The sequence below is a fragment of the Homo sapiens genome, chromosome 4 (genome assembly GCF_000001405.40).
Source record: "Homo sapiens chromosome 4, GRCh38.p14 Primary Assembly".
NCBI classification, from domain to species: Eukaryota; Metazoa; Chordata; class Mammalia; order Primates; family Hominidae; genus Homo; species Homo sapiens.
In genome coordinates, this window is record NC_000004.12 from 25,720,469 (window position 1) to 25,739,335 (window position 18,867).

At 43.6% G+C, this 18,867-nt stretch overlaps 1 protein-coding gene and 1 pseudogene across 4 annotated transcripts in view, besides 1 other annotated feature; both read right to left on the reverse strand.

Moving 5' to 3' along the window:
* SEL1L3 (SEL1L family member 3) overlaps positions 1-18,867 on the reverse strand; it is a 149,603-nt gene that overhangs the window by 6,505 nt on the left and 124,231 nt on the right. For all 4 annotated transcript variants that reach the window (XR_007096387.1, XR_007096388.1, XR_001741182.3 and 1 more), the window contains exon 24: positions 1,357-1,513. The gene's annotated coding sequence lies outside the window, so the exon portion shown is untranslated. The remainder of the gene's footprint in view (positions 1-1,356; positions 1,514-18,867) is intronic.
* Positions 48-588, reverse strand: MTCO3P44 (MT-CO3 pseudogene 44; annotated as a pseudogene).
* Positions 4,567-5,766: an enhancer, noted in NCBI's record as "CDK7 strongly-dependent group 2 enhancer chr4:25726657-25727856 (GRCh37/hg19 assembly coordinates)". NCBI's record gives its function as "activates an origin of replication core promoter dependent on BRD2, BRD4, P300/CBP, MED14 and CDK7 cofactors, with strong dependence on CDK7, by STARR-seq in HCT116 cells {active_cell/tissue: HCT116}" and the evidence as "EXISTENCE:reporter gene assay evidence [ECO:0000049][PMID:35650434]".

Here is an 18,867-nt window from a genome sequence, read left to right on the forward strand (position 1 = left end):
CTAATTGATTGGAAGTCAATGGTACTGTTTATGCTAAAAGAGTAGGATCCTCATCAGGAGATAGAGACGTATAATAATAGTCATACTACATCTACGAAGTGTCAATACCAGGCAGCGGCTTCAAAGGGAAAGCGGTGGTTGGATGTAAAGTGGAATTTTAATTGGCAGAGGAGACAGTGAGAAATGTTGATCCAATAATAATGTGAAATCCGCGAAAGCCTGTGTCTGTAAAGAATGTTGAGCCGTAGAGCCCATCAGCGATAGTAAAGGGGGCCTTGAAATATTCCTAGACTTGTAGAAAGGTAAAGTAAATACCTAAGGCAATTGTGATGGATAGTGCTTGAAGTATCTGCTTTTGACTACCTTCTATCTGTCTGTGGTGAGCCCAAGTATTTGAAACTCCTGATGCAAAAAGTACAGATGTATTTAGGAGAGGACTTCTAAGGAGTAGAGGGGAAAAATGCCTGTTGGGGGTCAGCGTCCCCCTAATTCTGGGACCGGGGCTAGACTAGAGTGGTAGAATGCCCAGAAGAAACCATCAAAAAAGAATACTTCTGAGATAATGAATAGAATTATTCCATATTGGAGGTTGCAAATTAATCAGTATTAGTATAATCTTCATCTGACCAGGAAAAGGACATTTTTGAATCACTTTGACTCTCATCTCTTGACTCTCTTTAGAAGGTGAGATTTTGGTCTCAGATTTGCATGAGAAGTAACTGAACATAAGGATATAAGCTTGGAACTTTTTTTTTTTAATGTCTAGTATTAAGAAGCTGAGTTCTGATAAGGAGCTGCTAATTAAGTCTGCAAGGATATGGTGCGGATTAACCCAGCTGTACCTGCTGGTAGAAATCCTCTGAAATAATGAAGAGCTGTCAAATTCCTCCAGCAATGTGGGGCCACAGGTACAAGCTCAGCTCTTTTGCGTTTGTTTTCATGTAATCTGCCAGGATACCCACAGCGGCACTTACTGCAGGCTTCTCGGTAGAAAGATAGAAAAAAAATACACCTGACCAGTCCTTCCACAATGACTTACCGTGTACTTTCTCTGTGTCAGCATTGTACGAATGCTGGGGGTGTCTCAGAATTGCCCTTGCCTTAATAATGCAAAAATTCTATTGGGGAGACAAAGCAAATACCAAAGAACTAAGACTTGGACAAGATGACAAAAGTACATAACTGTTTCATGGAGTGGTCAAGTCAATGAGCCAGGGAAATTCACAGGAGGAAGGCTTCAGCGAAGGCTGCAAGGCGGCAGCTCCAGCTTTGGTGTAGACAAATGGAGGTTGAAAATAACCCACCTCCCACTTCCATGGGAAGCCTACACTTCTCTGTCCCTTGACTTTGACTTACCCATGTGACTTGCTTTCGCCAGTGGGATCTCAGTGGAAGTGACATGATGGACGTCTTCAAATGTGTTTGCACAGTTGTGCTTTCGAGCCTTTTTGCCATGAGATTGCTGGAGAGGACAAACTTTTACACTACTCTGTTATATTTTGTTCCTGGGGGTCTGCGAATTAAAGTAACAAAAGACAGGGGAATGGGAGAAAAGGCATACAATTTTTATTAATGTTTGTGTGCACACGAGTTTACAGGAAAAAAGTAAAACTGAAGTGGTTAGACTCAGGGCCTTATATACCATTTTAACAAAGGAAAGGGGCTTTGAGCTTTGAGAAATAATGAATCATGGGGAAAAAAGTGACTAGGAAATATATGGCAAAGGTAATGGAAGATGAGTTATTTTAGCAAAGTTTGTTTATGCAGACTCATTTAGGTGCTATCTCTGATGATAAGAGTCTCTCTTCTCTTGGTACGAAAGAGGACGTTACCTTCACAAGATAAATTTATATCCTACTTTTAGGCAGAAAAGGGGAGAGTAAGAATTCTTTTGCAACTACTGAGTCTTAATCATCCTTATGTCAAGGTGCATTTTTTGGTGTGGCATACTCTGATCCCATTTAAGATGAACATGCCTCACTTGCCCACTGATCCCAGAAGAATAAAAATACATAGAGCAAGTGTGGATGTTGTGAGCTGCGCAAAGTCAGACATAACCAGGTCCACACACATCTGAGTCTTTCCATAAGGTAAGACTTTTACTGACACCATTTCGATCATAAGAGCCACAAGATACATGCAGCTCCAAAGGAGGCTTTTTTTTTTTTTTTAGAGATAGGGTCTTGCTGTATTGCCCAGGCTGGTCTCCAACTCCTGGACACAAGCAATCCTCCTTCCTCAGCATCCCAAAATGCTGGGATTACAGACATGAGCCACCGTGCCTGGCTAACAATTCTCTTGAGTATTACCTGTTTACTCAGTAGTCAGAGCTGTGGGCACACAGGTTCAAGCTATTCCACAGTCAGTCAATATTGCAAACCATAAATAATAATAGTATGCTTAATCAATATATAAATGTTCTAGATTAATATTTCACACAAAACAGAGTAACATTTAACATGAAGAGAAAAAGGAATAGGAGAAGGGGTTAATGAACCAGTCCAAGGAGAGTTACGTGGACAAGGAGAGTGTCCCGGCCTGACCCCGACAGTCATCAATGTCTGGCAAGAACAGTCCTTAATGTGGGCAGAGCCTTCAGCAGCAGATGCCAGGTGCTAATAATGAGTGACAGCAAGACAGAGTCTGTCAAGAAGGCCATTCCTAGCTGGTGATGTTCTGCTCATTTTATGGCCCTGGAGTCCTCTGCTGAGGACTGATAGTAAAAGGTTATGCCCTTATCTTTTTGGGTGTTATCTCTGTTGATTAGGAGAACATCTGAGCCCAGCTGGCTTGATGCCTTTTGAAAAGTAAGTTGAAGTATTTTTCTAAGATGGAGTTACTTACATCAAGGGTGCTGTATACACTGGACCTACTGCAGAGCCTGGAACCCAGCCCAGCTGAGTCCAGCTTAGATGAGCTAAATCACAGCCAACCTACAGGTGCCCAAGTGAAATATAAATGTTTGTGACTCTGAGATTTTGTGGTTGCTTGTTCCACAGTATTATTGTAACAGTAGTTTATTTATCCATAAAATCAGGAAATGTATACCTCAACTTGCAGTGGTATTATAAGAATTCAGTGAAATAGAAGCCTAAGGTCTCAGATTTCAATACCCTGAGAATGCAATTGTGGTCATGTCAATATTGCTATCTGATTTGCAATGGTTCCTGTACTCATGAGGAAATTCCCTTCCCAGAAGAGGGTTTGTAAATAATCCTGATGTTGCTTAGTGTTATGGCATGCCCCTCATCACCACCACCAGCTGCTGGTCCTCACAGCTCTGCCAGGGCCCCACTCTAAGTTCAGGCTCAGCACCTATTGATCGACTCAGGCTGGTCATCTGGGGAACTGCAGCGGAGATTCACCAATAAATAACAGTGAACTTGAACTTCATGATGCAGGACAGCTTGACTTATTTATTCACATAGCAAACATCTATCATGTTCCTATTACTCGCCAAGCAGTGTATTTAGTGTACTAAGCAAGGTTCTGACTTACAGCAGTTGCTTTCACAAGAGGAATGAGGATAGAAAATATTCTCTCCCTCATTTATACTCAATTAGTGAACTCCACAGCCCGGTAGGGCCCCAGAGAGTCACAATTTAGTGAAACAGTTCTTTCAATTTTGAAATGTTTCCAGAATGGCAGGCTCAAGAAAAGATCCTCTGGACTGGGCCCGGTGGCTCACACCTGTAATCCCAGCACTTTGAGAGGCCGAGGAGGGTGGATCACTTGAGGTCAGGAGTTCGAGACTAGCCTGGGCAACATGGTGAGAACCCATCTCTACAAAAAATGCAGGAATTAGCCAGGCATGGTGGAGAACGCCTGTAGTCCCAGCTACTTAGGGGGCTGAGGTGGAAAGATTGCTTGAGCCCGGGAGGTTCAGGCTGCAGTAAGCTGTGACTGTGCCACACTACACTCCAGTCTGTGTGACAGAGGGAGACCCTGTCTCAAAGAAAAGAAAAGACAAGGTAAAAGAAAAGAAAAAAAAGGCCAGGTACAGTGGCTCATGCCTGTAATCTCAGCACTTTGGGAGGCCGAGGCAGGCGGATCACGAGGTCAGGAAATCGAGACTATCCTGGCTAACACAGTGAAACCGTCTCTACTAAAAATACAAAAAATTAACTGGGTGTGGTGGTGGGCACCTGTAATCAGCCACTCGGGAGGCTGAGGCAGGAGAATGGCGTGAACCCGGGAGGCGGAGCTTGCAGTGAGCCAAGATGGCGCCACTGCACTCCAGCCTTGGCGACAGAGCCAGACTCCAACTCAAAAAAAAAAAAAAAAAAAAAAAAAAAAAAAAAAAGGAAAAGAAATTAAAAGGAAAAAAGAAAGAAAAAGAAAAGATCCTCTGGTAGTTATAACAGTAAACCCAACAGTTCTCCCTTGCAGCCCTCAGGGCTGGTGGATCAGCATGGGTCACAGCTCCCTAGGGTCAATATCCTCCTCAGCTCCTGTAAGCCCTTCCCCACCAGTGGCCCTCAAATCTGTCGGGCATGTCTGTGCATGAGTCCCACTGAACAGCAGTCAAGATATCTTCCCAGAGGACATTTCAGCCCCTGTGCACATGCTAGTCTGCAAATGGCTTCCTGGGAGGTGGAGTATTCTCCGACTATTTCCGGTGCATAGATGGGGACTTGCTAGGATCCCTGCTTACAGAATAACAAGGAAAGTGTTACCAGAAAGGAGTCCCAATCCAGACCCTAAGACAGGGTTCTTGGATCTTGCGCAAAAAAGAATGCAGAGCGAGTCCACTGATTAAAGTGAAAGAAGTTTGTTAAGAAAGTAAAGAAATAAAAGAATGGCTACTCCATAGGCAGAGCAGCCCAAGGTCCCAAGGACTGCTGGTTGGCTTTTTTTTTTTTTTTGAGACGGTGTCTCACTCTGTTGCCCAGGCTGGAGTACAGTGGCACAATCTCGGCTCACTGCAGTCTCGGCCTCCCGGGATCAAGCAATTCTCCTGCCTCCGCCTCTTGAGTAGTTGGAATTACAGGTACGTGTCACCACGGCTGGCTATTTTTTGTATTTTTGGTAGAGACGATGTTTCACCATGTTGGCCAGGCTGGTCTTGAACTCTTGGCCTCAAGTGATCGCCTGCCTCGGCCTCCCAAAGTGTGGGATTACAGGTGTGAGCTACTGCGCCCGGCCCTGGTTGGCTATTTTTATGGTTATTTCCTGATTATACGCTAAACAAGGGGTGGATTGTTCATGAATTTTCTGTGAAAGGGGCTTGGAATTCCTGAAACTAAGGATTTCTCTTCCTTTTAGACTCTCTTAGGTCTCTCTTCCTTTTAGTTCCATGTGGGGTAACTTCCGGAGTTGCCATGGCATTTGTAAAGTGTCACAGCACTGGTGGGAGTGTCTTTTAGCATGCTAACGTATTATAATTAGTGCATAATGCACAGTGAGGACCACCAGAAGTCACTTTCATTGCTATCTTAGATTTGGCGGGTTCTGACTGGCTGTTCTACTGCATCCTGTTTTATCAGCAGCGTCCTCGTGACCGGTATCTTGTGACCTCCTATCTCATCCTGTGACTAAGAATGCCTAACATCCTACGGATGCAGCCCAACAGGTCTCAGCCTCATTTTACCTTGCCCCTATTCAAGATGGAGTCCCCCTGGTTTGAACGCCTCTGATGAAAGTACCAGGTCAGAGTATCAGTTCTCATCCACTTCCTGAAGGAGAGGAAACCTGAGCTGGGTTTTGGAGCATTTGGAATGAATAGGGAAGGGGCAGAAGTTTCTGTGCCCATCTTGGGTTAAAAAAAAAAAAAAAATTTGGCCTGGCACGATGGCTCACACCTGTAATCCCAGCACTTTGTGAGGCCAAGGCGGGCAGATCACGAGGTCAGGAGTTCAAGACCAGCCTGACCAACATGGTGAAACCCCGTCTCTACTAAAAATACAAAAATTAGCTGTGCGTGGTGGTGTGCGCCTGTAATCCCAGTTACTTAGGAGCCTGAGACAGGAGAATCACTTGAACCTGGGAAGTGGAGGTTGCAGTGAGCCGAGATTGCGCCACTGCACTCCAGCCTGGGTGACAGAGCAAGACTTGGTCTCAAAAAAAAAAAAAAAAAACCCAAAAAAAAACCTGTTGTACTTCAGACTCTGAAGACAGCCTGAGATGACAGATTTAGGCCAGTGAAGTGAGTCTGGCTTCTGAGAGTTACACGATGCCGGGAACGGGCCAGGTTTCCCTGCTCTGTGGACTTTCAGACTTCGAAGTCCCAGATACCCTTTGGGTGGTGAAATTATTACAACAAGCCTTCACAGAATTCCTAGAAACATTCCCTAAGTCTTAATAAGTACTATTTTTTCGCCTACATTTGTGATTCTGTTATTCGCTTGTGAGACGTGCTACAACAAAATACCACAGACTGGGTGGCTTTTCCATGGCAATGGAAATTTATTTCCTCACAGTTCAGGAGGCTGGAAGTCCAAGATGAAGGTGTTGCCAGGTTTGGTTTCTTCTGCAGCCTCTCTCCTTGGCTTGCAGACAGATCTTTCTCTCTGTGTTCTCATGTGGTTGGTCGTCCCCCAGCGCCCTTCGTGTCTCTCTGTGTGTCCAAATTTACTCTTCTTTTTAATTTTCTTTTTTTTTTTGAGACGGAGTCTCGCTCTGTCACCCAGGCTGGAGTGCAATGGTGGGATCTCGGTTCACTGCAACCTCCGCCTCCCGGGTTCAAGCAATTCTCCTGCCTCAGCCTCCGAAGTAGCTGGGACTACAGGCCTGTGCCACTACGCCCAGCTAATATTTTGTATTTTTAGTAGAGATGGAGTTTCACCATGTTGGCCAGGATGGTCTTGATCTCTTGACCTCGTGATCCGCCCTCCTTGGCCTCCCGAAGTGTTGGGATTACAGGCATGAGCCACCATGCCTGCCCCAAATTTCCTCTTCTAATAGGGCCATCCTGTTGGAATAGGACCACCCTAAAAACCTCATTTTATAATAAACCCATCTTTGAAGGCATTGTCTCCAATGTAGCCCATCGCACTCTTGAAATGTTAATCGACATTATTCATCTAAAATGGTTACTGATCCCTTACTAGCTTTTGGTCATTGCATTTTTATTTGGAGGTGAAGGCAGGACCTTCATATATAACCAGTGTGGAAAACCCCCTTGCAGGCTCCTGGGCTTGTCCTGGCTGCCTTTGTCTGTGATCCTGCCCAAAGTCTCCTCTTCCTGCTTTTGAAAGCTGTGAGTCTGGCATTTACAATCTCTGCGCCATGTTGGGGAAGAATAGGACAGGGGCTTCACAAACCAGCATTTCCCTGAGACACGCTGGCACTCCAGGTGCAGACAGGACACCTGGGGTGCATCCCAGGATGGGAGGCCAGAGTCAGAGGGGAGAGATTGGGTGCCTGTCATGGCTAATTAATTAAAAACAGTGTCGGGAAACAGGCTGTGCCCACGCATCACAGCCCACTAGTTAACACCCTTCCTGATTCTGTGGGCCCTCAGCAAGATGTTCTGCCTGGCTGAGCGGCTTGGCCACAGGAGGTGACATGAAATATGAACTAGGCCGGTTCTCAGAACTCAATCCAGTACGTAGTCTTCATGGAATGAACAGACACTAGAAAATAAGAGCTCTCCTTACAGGGTGCCAGCCATCTTTTGTTTGAAGTCCCTCGTTTTCTTATGTTGACCACAATGAGAATGACCATTAGTGTTTCTAAGGCCCCAGGTTTGTCCCCTGAAGAATAATCTGGGTTTCCGTAAGTGATGCTCAAGCTGTTTACTGCTCTGCAAGCTATCAGATGGCCACTTTCAGTTTCTTGACCCATGGAGAAATCAACTGACATTCGTTCTGGTGGCCACATTCTCTGGCTTTCTATTTGCAAAGTTTCCAGAAGGCAAGTCCAGGCCTGTAGAGAGGCTGCCTCTTCTGAGCTCCTTCACAGATAATTTCCTGGGTCATGCTAACCACCTGGGCACCATGGGCCATTCTCATCAACAGCAGCCCTCTGCTCCTTTCTGTCTCCCACTGTTCCCTGAAACACCATAGGCACATCCTCACCCCCATGCCCTTGCTCATCAGTTCTTCCCACCTGGCATGCCCTTTCCTACCTACCTGTCCAAAATCCTGCCCGTCCATCAAGGCTCAGCCCCCATACCTAAGGCTATCTTGCACTTAATACTACCAGTCATTCCCCTTGTGAAATAAAAGTAAGATCCAGCCAGGCATGGTGGCTCATGCCTGTAATCCCAGCACTTTGGGAGGCTGAAGCGGGAGGATCACTTGAGGTCAGGAGTTCAAGACCAGCCTGGGCAACATGGCAAAACCCCGTGTCTACTTGGGAGGCTGGGGCAGAAGAATTGCTTGAGCCCGGGAGGCAGAGGCTGCAGTGAACCTGCCACTGAACTCCAGCCTAGTCAACAGAGACTTGTGTCAAAAAAAAAAAAAAAAAAGAAAAGTAAAATCCTAAGCCCCCTGATCAACTGAACAGACTCTTACTGGCCAAGGAGACCTTAGAAAAACTCTTCACAAATACTACGTTTCCAACCATGACAAGATGGAAGGTCAGTCACACTTCAGTGAGTCCCCTTCCTCACTGTCACCAGACGTTTTTTTTTCCCCAACCATTAAATGCAAAGAAGCCTTGGAAAAAAAAGAATGGATGATTCCTCCACTGACTTCAATTAACCTCTTGATGCCAAGGCTGGACTCCCCTCTCGTTTTGAGATTTTGACATGACAGCTGACTGGTTTACAAAGCATTCCTTCCTGATAAATGACCACCAACCATGCACTGGTTCTGGCTGGTCTATGGAAGCTGTGCACAGAGTGTCTTTGTTTCACCTTTTGACATATAGACCTAATTTTACTGCATTTTAATGTTAAGTCTCCACCCCAAAGTGAACATGGAATGTATATAACACATGTTTGCTTACCACGCATGCACGTGACCACCCTTCATGAGTATTTGTAGCTTCTCCTATAACCTGTTAAATACATATATTTAGGCTGGGCACGGTGGCTTGCACCTGTAATCTCAGCACTTTCGGAGGCTGAGGCGGGCAGATCACCTGAGGTCAGGAGTTCGAGGCCAGCCTGGACAATGTGGTGAAACCCCTTCTCTACTAAAAATACAAAAATTAGCTGGGCGTGGTGGCACATGCCTGTAATTCCAGCTACCCGGGAGGCTGAGGCAGGAGAATCGCTGGAACCTGGAAGGTGGAGTCTGCAGTGAGCCGAGATCGCGGCACTGCACTTCAGCCTGGATGACAGAGCAAGACACCTTCTCAAAAACAAAAACAAAACAAAACATATATTTAGCCAACCCATTTAGCATAAAACCCGGTCCACCCTTCCTCTGGTGACGTGCCTGTGTTCAGTATCAATCGGAGGCTCCACTTCTCAGCTTGCAATGTTGCAACCTATCATAAGAAATCAAGTTCTCCTTTATAAATTCATAAATCTTGTGATTTTAAGTTGACATCTTTCTTCTTCTTCTTCTCCTTCTTCTTCTTCTTCCCCTCCTTCTCCTTCTTCTTCTTTTTTTTGAGACAGAGTTTCTGTTGCCCAGGCTGGAATGCTGGAGTGCAGTGGCATAATCTTGGCTCACTGCAACCTCCACCTGCCAGGTTCAAGTGATTCTCCTGCCTCAGCACCCGCCACCATGCCTGGCTAATTTTTGTATTTTTAGTAGAGACGGGGTTTCACTATGTTGGCCAGTCTGGTCTCGAACTCCTGACCTCAAGTGACCCGCCCACCTCGGCCTCCCAAAGTGCTGGGTGAGCCACCGAGCCCGGCTACTGAATGCCTTCAAATATTTCTCGTATTATGTTGGTAATGGGGTTGCAAATTTATTTCCACTACACTTGGGTGTGCATTTGGAATGCATTTCCTTTATTTTGTCTATGAACTAACTTTTATTATTTTTTTTTTGAGTGAGCATCTTCTGGATATCGATGGGGATGCATAGAGGAGTAGGGTGAGGAAACTAGTTAGTCCGATATAATAAATTTACACAGTGCCTTTGGCTAATGCTCCATTTCTCTAGGTAAAATGCCATCTCTCTCAGAATCCCTCCAACACATACGCACAATTCCTCTGTAAGTAGATGTAAGGGTAGAGCCTGCCAGCTGCTTGTGGTGATGTGTATAATGTCTTTATACTACCTAGTCGTTGGGACAGCCTCTGATGCTAACATCTGCGCTCAATAAACCTGTAGTCCCTTCTCTTGGTTTTGACTTTGCTTCTGAGCACTTTCACCCATTTCCTCTCTCTCACAGGCCCCACTTCCGGCTTTCATGGGTGTTAAAAGATTCCTCTACGGCCAGGCACGGTGGCTCACGCCTGTAATCCCAGCACTTTGGGAGGCCGAGGTGGGCAGATCACCTGAGGTCAGGAGTTCAAGACCAGCCTGGCCAACATGGCGAAACCCCATCTTGGCTAAAAATACAAAAATTAGCCAGGCGTGGTGGTGCATGCATCTGTAATTCCAGCTACACAGCAGGCTGAGGCAGGAGAATCACTTGTACCTGGGAGGCGGAGGTTGCAGCGAGGAAAGATCACACCACTGCACTCCAGCCTGAGCAACAGAGCGAGACTCTGTCTCAAAAAATAAAATAAAGTCAGGTAACAGATCTTTTCAGCTCTCTAGTTACAAGTGTCAGGGCTGTCTCCAAGAAAGCTGCAAAGGAACATGAGTTCAAAGGGACATTAAAACACATTGCTTTAATATTTACAAATATTATCTCCTGTTTCATCTTGTTTAACACTTGTGCTTTTATTTAGCTTTTAGATTTGTTGGCCCTATCTCTTTAAGTGAGTAAGATGTTTGTTTTACTGGCCATGGAGTTTCACAAACTATTGTATACAGAGTAAACTCATACAAGAACATTACAAATAAAATTGTACAGCTTCATTAAGGTACAATTGACCCACCATAAGCTGCACATATTTGAAAAATATGATTTGATGAGTTTTGGCATAGGTCTATGCCTATAAAATCCTCACCACAATCAAGATGGTAAGTGTATCCATCACACCCAGAAGTTTGAAAAGCATCCTTCCCTCCCTGCCTTCTACCCCCACACTTCGCCCAAGCAATCATTGGTCAGCTTTCTGTCACTATAGGTTAGTTTGCGTTTTCTAGAATTAAATAGAATCAATTGATAGGTACTCTTCTTGGTCTGGCTTCTTTCACTCAGCATAATTATTCAACTGTGTTACGTGTGTATTAATAGTTCATTCCTTCTTATTGCTGAATAATATGCCATTGTATGAATATACCATAATTTTTTTATCCAGACTTCTTGTTCATGGGCATTTGGGTTAGTTCCAGTTAGGGACATATTACAAAGAGAGCTGCTATGGGCTGGGTGCAGTGGCTCATGCGTGTAATCCCAGCCCTTTGGGAGGCCGAGACAGGTGGATCACCTCAGGTCAGGGGTTTGAAACCAGCCTGCCCAACATGACGAAAACCCATCTCTACTAAAAATACAAAAAGTTAGCTGGGCATGGTGGTGCGTGTCTGTAATCCCAGCTTCTTGGGAAGCTGAGGCATGAGAATCACTTGAACTTGGGAAGTGGAGGTTGCAGTGATCGGAAATCACAGCACTGCACTCCAGCCTGGGCAACAGAGTGGGAGTCTGTGAAAGGAAGGAAGGAAGGAAGGGAGAAATAAAGAAAGAGAGAGAAAGAGAGGCTGCTGTAAACATTGGTGTACACGTGGACATATTTTTATTTCTCTTGGGTAATTACATGGAGGTGAAATGTCTGGGTTGTATGGGAAGTAGATTTGCCAGATTTAGCAAATAAAAATACAAGGCATCCATTTAAACTTGAATTTCGGATAAATAAGAAGTAATTTTTTAGGATACATATATCCCATGCAATATTTAGAGCCTATATTGACAAGTTATTCACTATTTGTCTAAAATATGTCCCTTATCTGACAATACTAACTTGGGAAGTGTATGAGTAACATTGAAGAAACTGCCAAACTCTGTTTTCCAAAGTAGTTGTGCCATTTTACATTTCCACCAACAGTAAATGAGAGTTCCAGTTGTTTTAAGTCATTGCCAACGCTAGTCTTTTTAACTTTAGCTATGATAATGGATATGTAGTGGTATCTCAATGAGGTTTTAATTTTCATTGAATGATGACGTTCAGCCTACTTTCAATGTACTTTTTTGCCATCCTCATGGCTAGTTTGGTGAAGAGCCTGTTCAGTTTGTTTGCCTCCCGCCCCACCACATTTTTTTTTGTACTGGATTGGGTCTTTGGTCTTTTATTATTGAGTTTTAAGTGTTCTTTGTGTGTGTGTGTGGTGGGGAGTCGGACAGAGTCTTGCTCTGTTGCCCAGACTGGGGTGCAGTGGTGCCACCTTGACTCACTGGAAGGCTTACCTCCACCTCCCAGGTTCAAGAAATTCTCCTGCCTCAGCCTCCCAAGTAGCTGGAATTAAACAGGTGCACACCACCAAGCCAGGCTAATTTTTATATTTTCAGTAGAGATGGGGTTTCACCATGTTGGCCGGTATGGTCTCAAACTCCTGACCTCAAGTGATCTGCCCTCCTCTGCCTCCCAAAGTGCTGGGATTACAGGCATGAGCCACTGCGCCTGGCGAGTCCTCTAACTTTGTTATTTTTTTTTTTTCCCAACTGGGCTTTAGCTATTCTAGGTCCCTTGTATTTCCATATAAATTTTAGAATCAGCTTGGAAACTTCTACAAAATAGAAAAATTTTGCCAGATTTTCACTGGCATTGCATTGAATCTATAAAATCAATTTGGGGAGAATTTACATCTTGAAAATATTAAGTATTTTGATTTATGCAGATGATATATCTCCATTTTATTTAGGTTTTCTTTAATTTTTCTCAGTAATACTCTCAGTTTTTAGAATACAGGTCTTGTAAGCCTTTTGTTATCCCTCAGTATTTCTTATTGTGTGATGATCTAGTAAATAGTTGTTTTCTTAATTTTTCCATTCAATGGTTTATTGCTAACATATCAAAACATAATTTTTTTAATGTTGACTTTGGATTCTACAACATTGATAAGATCATGTAGTTGTTATAGTATTTTTTTTTTATATTCCTTAGCTTTTTTTTTTTTTTTTGAGATGGAGTCTCACTCTGTCACTCAGCTGGAGTGCAGTGGCGCAATCTCGGCTCACTGCAACCTCTGCCTCCCAGATTCAAGTGATTCTCCTGCCTCAGCTTCCCCAGTAGCTGGGACTACAGGCGCGCACCACCGCGCCCGGCTAATTTTTGTATTTTTAGTAGAGACGGGGTTTCACTATGACTGGTCTCGAACTCCTGACCCCATGATTTCCCTCCCACCTCCGGCCTCCCAAAGTTCTGGGATTACCGATGTGAGCCACCGCGTCGGGCCAGTTTGTTTGTTTTTACAAAGGACTTCCAGTACAATGCTGAGTAGGACTGGCCATAGCAGACATCCTTGCTTTGTTCCAAATCTTAGGGAGGAAGTGTTCAGTTTGTTGCCATTAAGTATAATGTAGCTGTAGGTTTTGTTATAGATACTTTTTATCAGATTGAGGAAGTCCCTTTCTCTTCCTAATTTGCTGGAGTTTTGTTTTTTGGGCTTTGTTTTTTTTGAGACAGAGTCTCGCTCTGGCTGTCGCCCAGGTTGGAGTGCAATGGCGTGATCTTGGCTCACTGCAACTTCTACCTCCCACGTTCAAGCCATTCTCCTGCCTCAGCCTCCAGAGTAGCTGGGATTATAGGCACATGCCACCACGCCCAGCTAATGTTTTTTGTTTGTTTGTTTGTTTTTTGTATTTTTAGTAGAGACCGGGTTTCATCATGTTGGCCAGGCTGGTCTCAAACTCCTGACCTCAGGTGATCTGCCCATCTCGGCCTCCCAAAGTGCTGGAATTACAGGCATGAGCCACCGTGCCCAGCCTGCTATGTGTTTTTAATATAAAGGAACATTGGATTTTGTCAAATGCTTTATCTGCGTCTATTGAGATGAAGTTTTATCCTTGTTTAGTCTGTTAATACAATTAATTATATCGATTGGTTTTAAATGTTAAACAACCTTTATTCCTGAGATAAACTACACTAGATCATAACGTCTTCTTTTCATTAATTGCTTGTTTCAATTCGGTAATATTTGGTTAAGGATTTTTGTATCTTCTTTTTTTTTGAGACAGTCTCACTCTGTTTCCCAGGCTGGAGTGTAGTGGCCTGATCTCGGCTTACTGCAACCTCTGCCTCCCGGATCCAAGTGATTCTCATTCCTCAGCCTCCTCAGTAGCTGGGATTACAGGCGCCCACCACAATGCCTGGCTGATTTTTGTGTTTTTAGTAGATACAGGGTTTCGCCATGTTGGTCAGGCTGGTTTCAAACTCCTGACCTCAGGTGATCCGCCCGCCTCAGCCTCCCAAAATGCTGGGATTATAGGTGTCAGCCACGATGCCCAGCCTTTTGTATCTATGTTTATGAGGAATATTGATCTGAGTTTGTTTACTATTTTTGTAATATTTTGTCTGATTTTGACATTAAGGTAACACTAACCTAATAAAATAAGTTCAGAAGTATTTTTTTTCTTTTTTTTCTGAGTTTGTGTACAGTTGGTATATTTTCCTAAAATGTTTCATAGATTCAGTTTGTGTACAGTTAGTATTATATTTTCCTGAAATGTTTGATAGATTCACTGCTGAAGCCATCTGGGCTTAGAATTTTCTTTTTAGGAAAAGATTTTCATAGATTTTAACTATGAATTCAATTTCTTATAAGCTATAGGCTAGTCAAGCTATCTATTCTTTTTTTTTCCTTCCCTATGAAGACAGGGTCTTGCTATATTGCCCAGGTTGTTCCTGGACTCCTAGGTTCAAGCAATCCTCCTGCCCCAGCCTCCCAAAGTGCTAGGATTACAGGCGTGAGCTACCACATAATATTCTCTTATTACTCTTTTAATGTCTGTGGGATCTGAAGTGATGGCTCCTTTTTATTCTTGATATTGGGAATTTTGTGTCTTTTCTCTAGAGCTTTTAAAATCAATGTTACTGATTTTTTTCACAAATAACCAGTTCTTGATTTTATTGATTATCTTTATTTTTTTCTGGTTCCAATTTCACCAATTTCTTCTCTTTTCTTTATTATATTTTCCTTCAGTTTTCTTCAAGTTTAGCTTAATCTTCTTTTTTTATGGTGGACGTTGTATCATTGATTTGAGATATAACTTGTTTTCTTATAAACATTTAACGTTATAAAATCCTACAAACGTTGATGTTGTTTTTATTATCTTTCAGTTCAAAATATTTTATTTTTTTTTCTTTTTAAACCCAGAGACAGTTCAGAATATTTTCTAATATCCTTTGTGATTTATGTTTTTGACCAGTGGATTCTTTAGCAGCAAGTTGTTTATTTTCTAACTATTCTTTTTTTTTTTTTTTTTTTTTGAGATGGAGTCTGGCTCTGTCGCCCAGGCTGGAGTGCAGTGACCCGATCTCAGCTCACTGCAAGCTCCACCTCCCGGGTTCATGCCATTCTCCCACCTCAGCCTCCCAAGTAGCTGGGACTGCAGGCGCCCGCCACCACGCCTGGCTAATATTGTGTATTTTTAGTAGAGACGGGGTTTCACCGTGTTAGCCAGGATGGTCTCCATCTCCTGACCTCGTGATCCACCCGCCTCGGCCTCCCAAAGTGCTAGGATTACAGGCATGAGCCACCGTGCCCGGCCAGTATGTTCTAACTATTCTAGCTGTTTTATTTTTGTTGATTTTCAATTCATTTCCGTTGTGGTCAGACAATATATGCCATAAGATTGTGTGTCTGTGTGTGTGTGTGTGTGTGTGATGGAGTTTTGCTCTTGTTGCTCAGGCTGGAGTGCAGTGGTGCGATCTCAGCTCACTGCAACCTCCGCCTCCTGGTTTCAAGCAATTCTCCTGCCTCAGCCTCCTCAGTAGGTGGGATTACAGCGGCTCACCACCACGCCTAGCTAATTTTTGTATTTTTAGGAGAGACAGGGTTTCATCATGTTGGCCACGCTGGTCTCGAACTCCTGACCTCAGGTGATCCACCCTCCTCGGCCTCCCAAAGTGCTGGGATTACAGGTGTGAGCCACTGCACCTGGCCAGATTTCTATAGTTTGAAATTGAATGAGACTTGTTTTATGGTTCAAGATATTGTCCATCTTGGTGAGCGTTCCATGTAACCTTGAAAAGAAAGTGTATTTTGCAATTGTTGGGCATGATATTTTATAAATGTTAGTTAAGTTAAGGATGTCAATAGTGTCTTTCAGATCTTCTGTAAACCTACCATTTTTTTAAGTTGTTCTATTACTGAGAGAAGTGCATTAAAATCTCTAACTTTGTAGGTTTGTCTATTTCTTCTCATTTCTATCAAGTTTTGCTTTATACATTTGTCATACGTTGTTAGTGGGCATATATATATATTCCATCCTACTGCCCTTTTCCTTTTTGTCTCTTGTAGTACTCCTTATCTTGAAGTCTATTTTATCTAATATTAATAGCCACTGAAGCTTTCTTATTGACTATTAGTACCTTTTAATAATATGCTACTCTTTTTTTTTCTTTTTCTTTTTTTTCTTTTTTTTGAGACAGAGTCTCACTGTCACCCAGGCTGGAGTGCAATGGCACAGTCTCGGCTCACTGCAACCTCCGCCTCCTGGGTTCAAGCGATTCTCCCACCTCAGCCTCCCAAGTAGTTGGGACTACAGGCACACGCCACCACGCTCAGCTAATATTTGTATTTTTAGTAGAGATGGGGTTTCCCCATGTTGGCCAGGCTGGTCTCGAACTCCTGACCTTGTGAACTGCCTGCCTTGGCCTCGTAAAGTGCTGGGATTACAGGCGTGAGTCACCACGCCCAGCCTCAGACTAGGTTTAAACAACAGAACTTTATTTCTTACACTTCTAGAGAATGAGAAGTCCAAGATGAAAGTGCTAGCAAGGTACCTTTTATCCTGAAGCCTTTTTTCTTTGTTTCTAGGTGGCTGCCATCTTGCTGTGTGCTTGCATGGCCCCTTCTTGATGGATATGTGGGAGACAGAGCAAGCTCTCCAGCCTCTCTTTTTATAGGGGCATTAATCCTGTCATGAGGGCTCGAACCTCATGAACTCATCTAACCCTAGGCCTCTCAAAGGCCCTAGCTCTAAATGCTATCCCATTGGAAATTAGGGATTCTACATTTGAGTTTTGGGAGGACACAAACATTCAGTCCATAACAAAAATACAGTAGTGTCTCTGTATCTGTGGGGATTGGTTCCAGGACCTTCCTCAATTCTTTGCATGCTCAAGTCCCTGATATAAAATGACATAGTATTTACACACAATCTATGCATATCCTCCCATATACCTTAAATCATCTCTAGATTACTTATAATACCTAATACAATGTAAATGCTGTGTAAATAGTTGTTACACTGTATTGCTTAGGAAATAATGATCAAAATAAGTTCGTACATGTTTAATACAGTTGCCTTTTTTTTTGTTTGTTTGAGACAGAGTCTCACTCTGTCAACCAGGCTGGAGTGCAATAGCACCATCTTGGCTGACTGTAGCCTCCCTCTCCCAGGTTCCAGTGATTCTCCTGCCTCAGCCGCCTGAGTAGCTGGGATTACAGTTACGTGCCGCCACACCTGCCTAATTTTGTGTTTTTAGTAGAGATGGAGTTTCACCACGTTGGCCAGGCTGGTCTTGAATTCCTGATCTCAAGTGATCCCTCCGCCTGAACCTCCCAAAGTGCTGGGATTACAGGCATGAGCCACCACACCCAGCTTGCAATTTTTTTTAATAATATTTTTGACCCAAGGCTGGTTGAGTCCAGAGATGCGGAACCCATGGGTATGGAGGGGATGACTATACTATTTATTTTTAAAGGCATCTTTCTGGCTGTTTCTAATTGGAAAATCCAGGTTAAGTCCCTTGGGGCTAATCTTGTTTTCCAGCAGTGTTTGCTGTCTGCTTTACTGAACGCTGCAGTACAGGTTTTGTCTGTCTGTTGGTTAATCCAACACAGTCTTCCTGACACTAGAGCTTTTGCACCCTTCAAAAATTGCTTTCATACATCTCATTAAAGAAACACCAAGGCTTCTTCACTCTATCTAAAGTCACAGTGAAAGCAAAAGTGCAAAAGATTATATTGTGCACTAAATTTCTTTGCCTTCAAAGACACTCAGGTTGTGGCTGACTGAATACCAATAAACATTCACCAATTCAGAGGATTAAGGCCAATTTTAGTTTGCTTTTATTTCTTGTATTTGGACCTCAGCTACCCATAGTTGAGGTAATCATTGTCTTCAGTTCATGGCACATCATAACCATTGTGTGCAAGACTCTGCTCTTGTTTTATTTTAATATTTTTCCTTTCCTCACACAGTCCCTCTCACAACCCCTGCCTCAGAACCTAAGTGGTCACACTAATGCATTTGACATATGGTTTAGATGAGTTGTTCTTAACCAGGGCAGTTTGGCTCCCTCTACCACAGGAGACATTTAACAATGTCTGGAGGTTGGCTGGGCACAGTGGCTCACGCCTGTAATCCCAGCACTTTGGGAGGCCGAGGCGGGCAGATTACAAGGTCAGGAGTTCAAGACCAGCATGACCAACATGGAGAAACCCTGTCTCTACTAAAAAAAAAATAAAAAATTAGCCAGGCATGGTGGGGGCACACCTGTAATCCCATCTACTAAGGAGGCTGAGGCAGAACCATCACTTGAACCTGGGAGGCAGAGGTTGCAGTGAGCAGAGAATGTGCCACTGCACTCCAGCCTGGGCGACAGAGCGAGACTCTGTCTCAAAAAAGAAAAACAAAAACAACAACAACAAAAAAACAATGTCTGGAGGCATTTTTGGTTGTCACAACTGAGTGGGTGCTACTGGTATCAGGTAGAGAGAGGCCATAGAGATGTTGCTAAACATCCTA